At 40.0% G+C, this 12,584-nt stretch overlaps 1 annotated feature.

Moving 5' to 3' along the window:
• Positions 1,329-1,830: an enhancer, noted in NCBI's record as "OCT4 hESC enhancer chrX:139215004-139215505 (GRCh37/hg19 assembly coordinates)". NCBI's record gives its function as "activates a minimal SCP1, AML or CMV promoter by ChIP-STARR-seq in naive H9 embryonic stem cells {active_cell/tissue: H9 hESC(naive)}" and the evidence as "EXISTENCE:reporter gene assay evidence [ECO:0000049][PMID:30033119]".

The raw sequence follows: 12,584 nt of genomic DNA, 5'->3' as shown, positions 1-12,584 counted from the left end.
ATGAATATGTCTTAAACTGTTTCAAAAAATAGAAAAGCCAGGGAGGGTAGCATGCAACTGTAATCCCAACTATTTGGGAGGCTAAGGTGGGAAGATTCCTCGAGGCCAAGAATTCAAGGTTGCAGTGTGCTATGATTGTACCTATGAAGTGTCACTGCACTCCATTCAAGGCAACATAGCAAGACCCTGTCTTTAAAAAAAAAAATAGTAAAAGAAAATAGAAGAGCAGAGAACACTTACTAATATGAAGCCAGTATTACCCTAATGCTAATGCCAAAGAGATTACAAGAAAATAAAACTACAGACCAGAATCCTTATGAATAGACACAAAATCCTCAACAAAATACTAGCAAACCAAATCCAACAACATATAAAAAAGATTACACACCATAAATAAGTGGGATTTATCATATTGGGTCACCATATTAAAACCAATCAATGTAATATATCCTATTAATAAAGGAAAAAACACAATAATCTCAATAGATGTACAACAAAACATTTGGTAAAAATCTAAGACCCTTTATTGGTAAAAACGCTCCATAAATTAGGAATAGAAGAGAACCTCAATTCAGTAAAGGCCATCTATGAAAAACCCTATTAACAGCTAAAATTATACTCAAGGTTAAAGCACTAAATGCTTTTCCCCTAAGATAAGAAACAAGACAAGGATGTCTGATTTGTCACTTTGACATTGTACTGAAAGTTCTTTCCAGAACAATTAGATAAGAAAAAGAGAGAAAATAAATCCACATAAGAAAGGAAAAAGTGAAACTATTTATATTCACAGATGACATAATTTTATATTGAGAAAAACCTCAAGAATCCACACCAAAATTAAAAAAAAAATTAGAGCTAATAAATGAATTTAGGAAAGTTGCAAGATATAAGATCAACATACAAAAATCATTTGTATTTCTATTCACTAGCAATGAACAATCTGAAAATGAATTTTAGAAAATAATTCCATTTACAATAGCATCAAAAAGAAAAAAAACTTAGGACTAAATTTAACAGAACAAGTGTAAGACTTGTACACTGAAAACTACAAAACATTATTGAAAAAAATTAAAGGAGACCTAAATAAATGGAAGCATATCCCACGTCCACAGATTAAAAGACTTTATTGTTAGGATGGTAATACTCCCCCCATATTATCTACAGAGTCCACCAATCTCTGCCAAAATATCCTAGGTGCCTTTTTTGAATAAATGAATACATTAGTCATAAGATTCTTTTTTTTTTTTTTTTCTTTCAGAGACAGGGTTTTGTTCTGTTACCCAGTCTGGAGTGCAGTGGTGTGATCATGGCTCACTGCGACCTTGAATTTCCAGGCTCAAGCAATCCTCCTGCCTTAGCTTCATGAGTATCTAGGACTACAGGCATGCACCACCATGCCTGGCTGTTTTTATTTTTTGTAGAGACAGGGTCTCACTATGTTGCCCAAGCTGGTCTCAAACTCCTGGCCTCAAGTGATCTTCTGGCCTCAGCCTCACAAACCACTGGGGTTACAGGCATGAGCCACTGCACTTGGCCCGTAACATTCTTAACATTCCATAACATTCTTATGGAAATGCAAGGGGCCTCTAAGAGCCAAAAAAATCTTGAAAAAGGAGAACAAATTCCAAGGACTCACTCACACTTCCCAATTTCAAAACTTATTACAAAGATACAGTAAAGCGTATTGTGGAGTACTGGCATAATAATTAACACATAGATCAGTGGAATAGAATTGACAGTCCAGAAATACACCCATACATCTATGGTCAATTAATTTTCAACAATTGTATGAAATTCCCTCAATGGGGAAAAATAGACTTTTCAACAAAAAGTACTGAGTTAACAAGATATCTACATGTAAAAGAATGAATTTGGATCCCTATTCACACCATATATAAAAATTAACCCAAAATAGACTAGAAACCTAAATTTAAGAACTAAATATATTAAAACTTTAGAAGGAAACATAGGGATATATCTTTATGACCTTAATCAATGGTTTTTAAAATATGCCATTCAAAACAGGCAACAAATGAAAAATTAGATAAAGTGGACTTCATCATAACTAAAAACTTTTGTGCAACAAAGAACATTATCAAGAGAGTGTAAAGACAACCCACAGAATGGAAGAAAATATTTGCATATCACATATATAATCTTAAAAACTTGTATATAGGCTGTATAAGCAACATTTACACCTCAAAATAAAATGACCAAAAAAAAATAAAAATGGGCAAAGGATTTGAGTGGACATTTCTCCATTTATATACAAATAGCTAATAAGTACATGAAAATATTCTCAACATCATTAGTCATTAGAGAAATGCCAATCAAAGTCACAATGAAATACTACTCTACGTTCATTAGGATGGCTGTAATTTTTTTTATTATTATTATTATACTTTAAGTTCTAGGGTACACGTGCACAATGTGCAGGCTTGTTACATAGGTATACATGTGCCATGTTGGTATGCTGCACCCATCAACTCGTCATTTACATTAGGTATTTCTCCTAATGCTGTCTCTCCCCTAGCCCCCAACCCCCCAACAGGCCCCAGTGTGTGATGTTCCTCACCCTGTGTCCAAGTGTTCTTATTGTTCAATTCCCAACTATGAGTGAGAATATGCGGTGTTTGGTTTTCCGTCCTTGTGATAGTTTGCTGAGAATGATGGTTTCCAGCTTCATCCATGTTCCTGCAAAGGACATAAATTCATCCTTTTTATGGCTGTATAGTATTCCATGGTGTATATGTGTCACATTTTCTTAATCCAGTCTATCATTGATGGACATTTTGGTTGGTTCATTTTTTGAAAAGATCAACAAAATTGATAGACTGCTAGCAAGACTAATAAAGAAGAAAAGAGAGAATAATCTAATAGATGCAATAAAAAATGATAAAGGGGATATCACCACTGATCCCACAGAAACACAAACTACCATCAGAGAATACTATAAACACCTCTATGCAAATAAACTAGAAAATCTAGAAGAAATGGATAAATTCCTGGACACATACACCCTCCCAAGACTAAACCAGGAAGAAGTTGAATCTCTGAATAAACCAATAACAGGCTCTGAAATTGAGGCAATAATTAATAGCCTACCAACCAAAAAAAGTCCAGGACCAGACGGATTCACAGTCGAATTCTACGAGAGGTACAAAGAAGAGCTGTAATTTTTTTATAAAAGAAGAAGAAGAAAAGAGAAAATAACAAGTATTGGTGAAGATGGGGAGAAACTGGTACCTTCGTACATTGCTAGTGGAATGTAGGATGATATGGCTGCTCTGGGAAAGTTTGACAATTCCTCAAAAAGTTAATTTTAAAGTTAGCATATGAGCCAGTAATTCCATTCCTAGGTATATACCCAAGAAAACTGAAAATATGTGTTCACAGAAAAACTTGTATGCAAAGGGTGATAGAACCATTATTTGTAGTAGCCAAAAGTGGAAGCAATCCAAATAATCCATCAACTGATGACTGGATAGACAAAATGCGGTCTATAAAATAGAATTCTATTCAGCCATAAAAAGAATGAAGTACTGATACAGGCTACAAGATGCGTGAACCTTGAAAATATCTTGCTAGGCCGGATGCAGTAGCTCACATCTGTAATTCCAGCACTCTGGGGGCCCTAGGTGGGTGGATCACCTGAGGTCAGGAGCTCCAGACTAGCCTGGCCAACATGACGAAAACCCGTCTCTACTAACAATACAAAAATTAGCTAGGCGTGGTGGTACATGCCTATAATCCCAGCTACTTGGGAGGCTGAGGCAGGAGAATCGCTTGAACCCTGGAGGTGGAGGTTGCAGCAAGCCAAGATCGTCTCAAAAAAAAAAAAAAAAGGAAGTATCATACTAAATGAAAGAAGCCAAATACATAAGGTCACATATTCTATGATTCCATTTATATGAAATGTCCAGAATAGCAAATCAATAGGAACAGAAAGTAGACTAGTGGTTGCCAGGAACTGAGGAAAGAGGAAAATGGGGAGTGTATGCCAATGGGTATAGGGTTTCTTTTGGGGGTGATGAGAATATTATAAATTAGAGAGTGGTGATAATTGCACAACACTGTGAATATACTAAACATCACTTAATTATACACTTAAAATTATTAAAATGGTAAATTTTAAGTTTTGTGAATTTTTACCTCAAAACAATAAAATAAAATACAATATTCACCTCAATGGGGACAACGTTGTTTCTTTAATATTGTCCTTTTAATCATGCAGTGCTAGGCTGGGTACAGTGGCTCACGTCTGTAATCCCAGCACTTTGGGAGGCTGAGGCAGGTGTATTACTTGAGCCCAGGAGTTCAAGACCAGCCTGGGCAACAAAGTGAGACCCCCTTCCCTACAGAAAAAAAGAAAAAAGAAGAAAAAGAATGCACTGCTAGATGATAATGAACATTGTATCTCTCTATTGTCTAAAAATGGAATATGAGCAGTGATTCACACCCCTACTTCACCCTGTGGAACGGGGTGACATTTCACTGAAGTAATACATTCACAACACTGCCCTAGAGCTAAAAATGACAATGGTAACCCCCAAAACAACAACAACTGATAACCTTCAATAAGGTCTTACAGAGGCCAGTTTCTAGAGTTTGCAATTTACATACCCTTTCATTTTAATTCTCAAACAAAACTATATAATAAATGTTAGGTTGAATCATACAGAAATTGCTAACTTTATAACTCAAAAAAGACTGAATATAACCTATTTCATATAGTTGAACCTATTATTATTATTTTGTTTGTTTGTTTTTGTTTTTGAGAAAGTCTCACTCTTGTCTCCCAGGCTGGAGTGTGACGACGCGATCTCGGCTCACTGCAAACTCCGCCTCCCGGGTTCAAGCGATTCTCCTGCCTCAGCCTCACAAGTAGCTAAGATTACAGGTGCCTGCCACCACGCCTGGCTAATTTTTGTATTTTTAGTAGAGACGAGGTTTCACCATGTTGGCCAGGCTGGTCTCAAACTCCTGACCTCCGGTGATCTGCCTGCCTCGACCTTCCAAAGTGCTGGGATTACAGGCGTGAGCCACCGTGCCTGGCCGAACCTATTATTGTCATCATCACCCCCAATTCACTGATGAGAAAGAGAGGAACAGGGAAGTAAAATAACTTACACGTCCAAGGTCACAGGGCTACTAAAGTGTCAGAGTTGGGATTTGAAATCACACCTGTCTGATTCAGTGGCTCCTAACAACTATGTCTTTATATATTCATCATTCACTCTAAAAACGTTGATTATGTACCTAATGCATGCTAAATATGAGGGAGAGAATCATAAGACAAAACAAATCCTGCAATCCAGGATCTCACAATATAGCATGGAAGACACATGTGAACAAAAAATAATGGCCAATCAAGACAATGAAACAATGGCAATTATAGAAGGCAACTGTAGAGGTAACTTAGAGAATGGAGGGTTGTCTTAGTTCAGGTCGTCTGAAAAGACTACGCCAAGACAGGATTAAAGGAGCATGTATTTTGTTAGAGGAAATTCCTTTATGAGAGAAAATAGGAAGAGAGCCAAAAAAAAAGTCTGGGAGAGTCATTAGACCATGATGTAAGTCTAACATGAATGAAGGAGAGAAGGAGAAAAGGTTGGGTGGTACCACCCTAGACGGCCATGCAGCCCAAAAGTGGTTTGACAAAGCCATTGTTGGGGACACTTCAAGCCAAAGTTAGCAACAGGTAAGAGCAATGTCTCCCAGGAATAAGTCTGCTTTAGCAACTCGGATATCTTCAATCATTGACTGGGAGCACCCTGTAAGATGTGTTACCTTGAAGCAAACATGGAGATGAATTTCGGAGCACAGTAGCTGGGACCCTTAGTCAATTATGTCCCCTGTAAAGTCCTTAAGGTATAGTCCTCCTGGTCACAACAAGTATTAAGGGTCAGGGAAGGCTTTCTGGTGCCGGTGACTTTTGGCCTGGGTTTGATATTATAATGTCCTAGTGAATAGAGACAGTATAAAAAAGAAAACCGAGCTCTGTGTAGAAAAGGGAAAATGGATGCGCAATTGTGGTACTTGCCAAGCCTTATAACAGCTATGAGACCTAGTCTTTGGAGCTTTCCACAGACTTTTTCATGTCCTGGCTGCGTTCCCAGTGTTTTACTCTTATAATCTAGCACGTATTGAAAAATATTACAAAATAAAATAGAATTAGGTTGTCACTGAATGTCGCATTGCTCGCTGTAATTCAGCTCTTCACTTAACACATGGAAAACTTTGTATATTAATATTCAGCCATTCCAGGCAGAGTATTTCTAAAAGATTTGTGAGTTCATTTACATGTTTATCTGCTCTTTTCTCCTTGGGAGTTGGACTGTTCTTCCGCCTGATGATTAGAATAATTGGATATTTTGAACTCATCCATCAGATTTGGAAATGATCTCTTAATTGATGAGGGTGTTTAACAGTTAATTGAACATTTCTACTCTGAAATTCCATTTTTCTTTAAGTACAGAAATAGCACAGCAGGGCCATGGACAAGTAAAGTCTAACACACAAACATCTTTCTGTGCCTATCTTGAACTCTGCAATAATCCTACTTCCTCTCAAACTGTAGCACGCAGTAGGCTACTCAATAAATATTTTATTTTACTTTTCTATGAATTGTTTAAAATTAAAACTTACAGAAGCAACTGTATCTTTTTTATGTGTGGCTACTGAGAAGTTTAATCTGATCTTATAATATGCTTTGAAAATCCAAATGTTACCAATTCATCTACATAGAGAATTTGGTGTTTGGTTCCCATCCAAATGCCACATCAGACATTTATATTACATCTTCCTTCCCTCCTCCCTCTTCTTCCTTCCAGACCACCACCGTACAGTTGCCCAAAAGTTATAATACTATATAGAATACAGCTTTAAACTCTAAAATATATGTACCTTCTCTAGCCCAGAATAGAGAAAATTATCTTTTATTGTGAAACTCTTTCAACCATGAAAAATGATTCCCTATATTAAAAAGTCATGAAGGTAGAGCAAGACAGCCAAATAGAAGCCTCCAGTGATCATCTTGCCCCCAACAGGAATACCAAATATTAACAACTAACTACACATTAAAAAGCACCATCATAAGAACCAAAATTCAGGTGAGCAATCAAAGTACCTGGTTTTATCTTCATATTGCTGAAAGAGACACTGAAGAGGGTAGGAAATACTTCTTCTTTTTTTTTTTTTTTTTTTTTGGACAGTCTCGCTCCATCACCCAGGCTGGAGTGCAGTGGTGTGACTGTGGTTCACTGCAACCTCCGCCTCCCGGTTGCAAGCAATTCTCCTGCCTCAGCCTCCCGAGTAGCTGGGACTACAGGCATGCACCACCACGCCCGGCTAATTTTTACTTTTTTTTTTTTTGAGACGGAGTCTCTCTCTGTCACCCAGGCTGGAATGCAGTGGCACGATCTCGGCTTACTGCAACCTCCACCTCCTGGTTTCAAGTGATTCTCCTGCCTCAGCCTCCTGAGTAGCTGGGATTACAGGCGCACACCACCATGCCCGGCTAAGTTTTGTATTTTTAGTAGAGACAGGGTTTCACTATGTTGGCCCGGCTAGTCTCGAACTCCTAGCCTCAAGTGATCTGCCTGCCTCGGTCCCCCAAAGTGCTGAGATTACAGGCATGAGCCACCGCTCCCGGCCTAGGGAAGACATTCTTGAATTGCTGATGCTACCCCTTTTCAATCCCGTGGCAGTAGCCACAGGGCATGGAGAGAGAATCTGTGCACTTGGGGGAGGGAGAGTGTAGTGACTAGGGGACTTGGCATTGAACTCAGTGCTGCACTGCCACAGCAGACAGCAAAGCTGTGCTGGGTTCAACTGGTGCCTGCCCATGGAGGGAACTTTTGGACCAGCCACAGTCAGAGTGGAATTGTCCATCCCAGGGATCAGAACTTGAGTTTCACAGCAAGCCTTACCACTGTCAGCTAAAGTGCTCTGCAGTCCTAGGTAAACTTGAAAGGTAGCCTAAGATACAAGTACTGCACTTCCTAGGCAACTCATGGTAGTGGGCTGGGCTTAGAGCCAGTGGACTAGGGTGGCACATGACCTAGGGAGACAACAGCTGGGGCAGCTAAGAGAGTGCTTGAACCACCCCTTCCCCTATCTCAGGCAGCATAGCTGGCAGCAAAGAAAGTGACTCCTTCCTTCTACTTGAGGAGAGAAGAGTGAAGAGTAAAGAGGACTTTGTCTTGCATCTTGAATAAGAACTCAGCCACAATCAGATAGGGCACTGGGCAGAGTCATGAGGTCCCCATTCTGGGCCCTAGCACCTGGATGTCATGTCTAGACAAACCCTAGGCCAGAAGGGAACCTGTTGCCTTGAAGAGAAGGATGCAGTCTTGACTGAGTCCCATCAGCTGCTTACTAAAGAGCCCTTGGATCCTAAATAATCAGCAGTGATACCCAGGTAGGATGCCATAGGCCTTGGTTGAGATTCTGAGATGTGCTGGCTTCAGGTGAGAGCCAACACATTCCCAGCTATGGTGAAAGACTCCTGCTTAAGAAAATCAGAGTGAAAAGTAAAGGGCACTTTGTCTTGCACCTTAGGTACCAGCTCAGCCACAGTGAGGTAGAGCACCAAGAGGACTCGGGCTTCCCAAGTCCAAGCCTTTGATCTTTGACAGCATTTCTGGAGCTGCACTGGGCCAGAAGGGAGCCCACTGCCCTGAAAGGTGAGTCCCAGGCCTGGAAGTACTCACCACAAGCTGACTGAAGAGCCCTTGGGCTTTAAGTGAACATCGGCGGTGGCCTGGCAGAATTCCCCATGGGCCAATGATAGTGGTGGCCACTGGGAGAGGTCCTCTACTTGTGGAAAAGGAAGAGAAGGGCAGGAAAAACTTTGTCTTGTGGTTTGAGGGCCAGATTAGCTATGGTAGAATAGAACACAAGGCAGCCTTCTGAGGTTTTTTACTCCAACCCCTGACTCTGGGACAGCATCACTGGACCCACTCAGAGCCTGGGAAAACTCAGTGCCATGAAGGGAAGGACACAAACTCGGTAGGCTCCCATACTTGCTGACTGGAGAGCCCAAGGGCCTTGAGTAAACATAGGCAGTAGCCAGGTAGTGGTTACAGCGGGTGCTGGAAGAGACTCAGTGCTGTGCTGGCTTCAGGTCTGACCCAGTATAGGCCCAGTGGTGGTGGCCACAGGAGTTCCTGCATTACCCCACACCCAGCTCCAGGAGGCTCAGCACAAAAAGAGACACTCCAGCCAGGCACACTGGCTCACACCTGTAATTCCAGCACTTTGGGAGGCCAAAGAGGGCAGATCACCTGAGGTCAGGAGTTCAAGACCAGCCTGACCAACATGGTGAAACGCCATCTCTACTAAAACTACAAAATTAGCTGGGCATGGTGGCACATGCCTGTAATCCCAGCTACTCGGGAGGCTGACACAGGAGAATCGCTTGAACCCGGGAGGTGGAGGTTGCAGTAAGCCGAGATCACGCCATTGCACTCCAGCCTGGGCAACGAGAGCAAAAGTCCATCTAAAAAAAAAAAAAAAAAAAAAAAAGACACTCCATTTGTTTGGGAGAAAGTAAGGGACGAGAACAAGAGTCTCTGCCTGGTAATCCAGAGAATTGTTCCACATCTTATGCAAGACCACAAAGAAAATACCTTTAGAAATCTGCAAGAACCACAGTGTTACTGGGCTTGGGGTCCAAGTCCCTTCAAATACCTGGAAAGCCTTCCCAAGAAAGATGGGCATGAACAAGCCCAGACTGTGAAGAATACAATTAATACCTAACTCTTTTAGTACCCAGACACTGACAAATATCCATAAGCATCAAGACCACAAGAAATACACAATATCACAAAAGAAACTAAATAAGGCACCAGGGATCAATCCTAGAGAAAAAGAGATATGTGACCTTTCAGATAGACAATTCAAAATAGATAATTCAAGGAAACTCAAAGAAATTCAATATAACACAGAGAAGGAATTCAGAATTCCATCAGATGAATTTAACAAAGAGATTTGAATAATTTAAAGAATCAAGCAGAAATTCTGCAGTTGAAAAATGCAACTGACCTACTGAAGAATTCATCAGTCTTTTATTAGCAGAACTGATCAAACAGAAGAAAGAATTAGTGAGCTTGAAGACAAGCTATTTGAAAATATACAGTCAGAGGAGACAAAAGAAAAAAATAAAGCATGCCTAAAAGAGATAGAATATAGCCTCAAAAAGGCAAATCTAAGAGTTATTGGCCTAAAATAGGAGGTAAAAAAAGAGATGGGGTAGAAAGTTTATTCCAAGGGTTAATAACAGAGAACTTTCCAAACCTAGAGAAAGATATCAACATTCAAGTACAAGAAGGTTATAGAACACCAAGCAGATTTAACCCAAAGAAGACTACCTCAAAGCATTTAATAGTCAAATTCCCAAAGGTTAAGGATAAAGAAAGCCTCCTAAAAGGACCACCTGAAAAGAAGCAAATAACATACAATGGAGCTCTGATGTGTCTGGCAGCAGACTTTTCAGTGGAAACCTTACAGGCCAGGAGAGAGCGGCATGGCATATTTAATGTGCTATATGAAAAAAAAATAGTTTTACTCTGGAATAGTGTATCTGGCAAAAATGTCCTCAAGCAAAAGGAGAAATAAAGACTTTCCCAGACAAACAAAAGCTGAGGGATTTTATGAACACCAGACCTGTCCTGTGAGAAATGCTCAAGGGAGTTCTTCAGTCTGAAGGAAAGGGATGTTAATGAGCAATAAGAAATCATCAGAAGGTATAAAATGCACTTGTACTAGTAAGCACAAAGAAAAACACAGAGAGGCAAAAGGAAAGATGGTGGATAGGAGACAGGGCTGATATGCAGCTCCCACTTGGATGGACAGAACAGTGTGTAGAGTCTCACACCATTGACTTTTGCTCCAGGAACCACCACTGGAGCATACCAGGAAAACTGAAAAAAATCACAGATCCTTTGAAAGAAATAGCAGGACACTGCAAATTCCATGAGACAGGCAAAAAACTCTGGTGCTCTCTTGAAAGCGCCACCTCCTGGCTGGAGGCAAACCAACTCAGGACATTGCAGCAACTCAGAACAAACCTGTTCCGAGGAAGGAGAAAACAACAGCTAATTCCACTGCCTGCAACATCCTGGCTAACCAGTGGTCCTCAGTCTGTCCACGTGACAACTTCACTGCCAGCATAACCAACACTTGAGAAAGTCAGCACACTAAACATATTTGAAACCAAGAATTCTCACAGAGTCTACTTTGCTTCCCTGCCACCTCCACCATAGCAGGTGCTGGTATCCAGGGATGGGAGACATGAAGACAGATTGCATCACAGGACTCTTTTCAGACAATCCCCAGCACCAGCCCAGATCCTGGTAGCCCCCTGGGTGGCCAGACCCAGAAGACCAATAACAATCATTGCAGTCTGACTCTTAGGAAGCCCCATGCCTAGGGAAAATGGAAGTGTATCACATTAAGGGATAACTCTGCAGGACAAAAGAATCTGAACAGCAGCCCTTCAGTTCCAGAATTTACCACTGAAATAATCTACCTAAATGAGAAGGAAACAGAAAAGTAATTCTGGTAATATGACAAAACAATGTTCTATAACATGCCCAAAAGACCACACTTGTTCTCCAGCAATGGATCCAAACCAAGAAGAAATCTCTGAATTGCCAGATAAAGAATTGAGAAAGCCAATTATTAAGTTACTCAAGGAGATACCAGAGAAGGGTGAAAACCAACTTAAAATTAAAAAAAAAAAAATACAGGATATGGATGGAAAATGCTCCAGAGCAATATATATCATAACGAAAAAGCAACCACAACTTCTGGAAATGAAAGACAGACTTAGAGAAATACAAAATGCACTGAAAAGTTTCAACAATAGAATCAAACAAGTAGAAGAAACAACTTCAGAGCTCAAAGACAAGGTCTTTTAATTAACCCAATCAGACAAAGACAAAGAAAAAAGAACCCCAAAAAATTAACAAAGCCTCCAAGAAATTTGGCATTATGTTAAATGGCCAGACATAAGAATAAATGGTGTTCCTGAGGAAAAAGAGAAATCTAAAAGTTTGGAAAACATATTTGAGGTAATAATTGAGGAAACTGTCCCTGGCCTTGCTAGAGACCTGGACATCCAAATACAAGAAGCTCAAAGAACACTTGAGAAATTTATAACAAAAAGATCTCACCTAGACATATAGTGATCAGGTTATCTGAAGTCAAAATGTAGAAAAGAATCTTAAGAGCTGTGAGTCAAAATCTTCAGGTAACCTATAAAGGAAAACTGATCAAATTAACAGCAGATTTCTCAGCAGAAACGCTACAAGCCCGAAGGGATTAGGGTCCTGTCTTTAGCCTCCTCAAACAAAATGATTGCCAGCCAAGAATTTTGTATCCTTGTTTCCAGATGGTATGATCTTACATTTGGAAAAAATGAAAGACTCCACCCAAAATCCGTTAGAACTCATAAACAAATTCAGTAAAGTTGCAGGACACAAAATCAACATACAAAAATCAGTAGCATTTCTATATGCCAACAGTGAACAATCTGAAATAGAAATGAAAAAGTAATCCCATTTACAATAGCCACAAAT

This window comes from Homo sapiens, chromosome X, assembly GCF_000001405.40.
Source record: "Homo sapiens chromosome X, GRCh38.p14 Primary Assembly".
NCBI classification, from domain to species: domain Eukaryota; kingdom Metazoa; phylum Chordata; class Mammalia; order Primates; family Hominidae; genus Homo; species Homo sapiens.
This window is presented reverse-complemented; position numbering and strand designations above follow the sequence as displayed.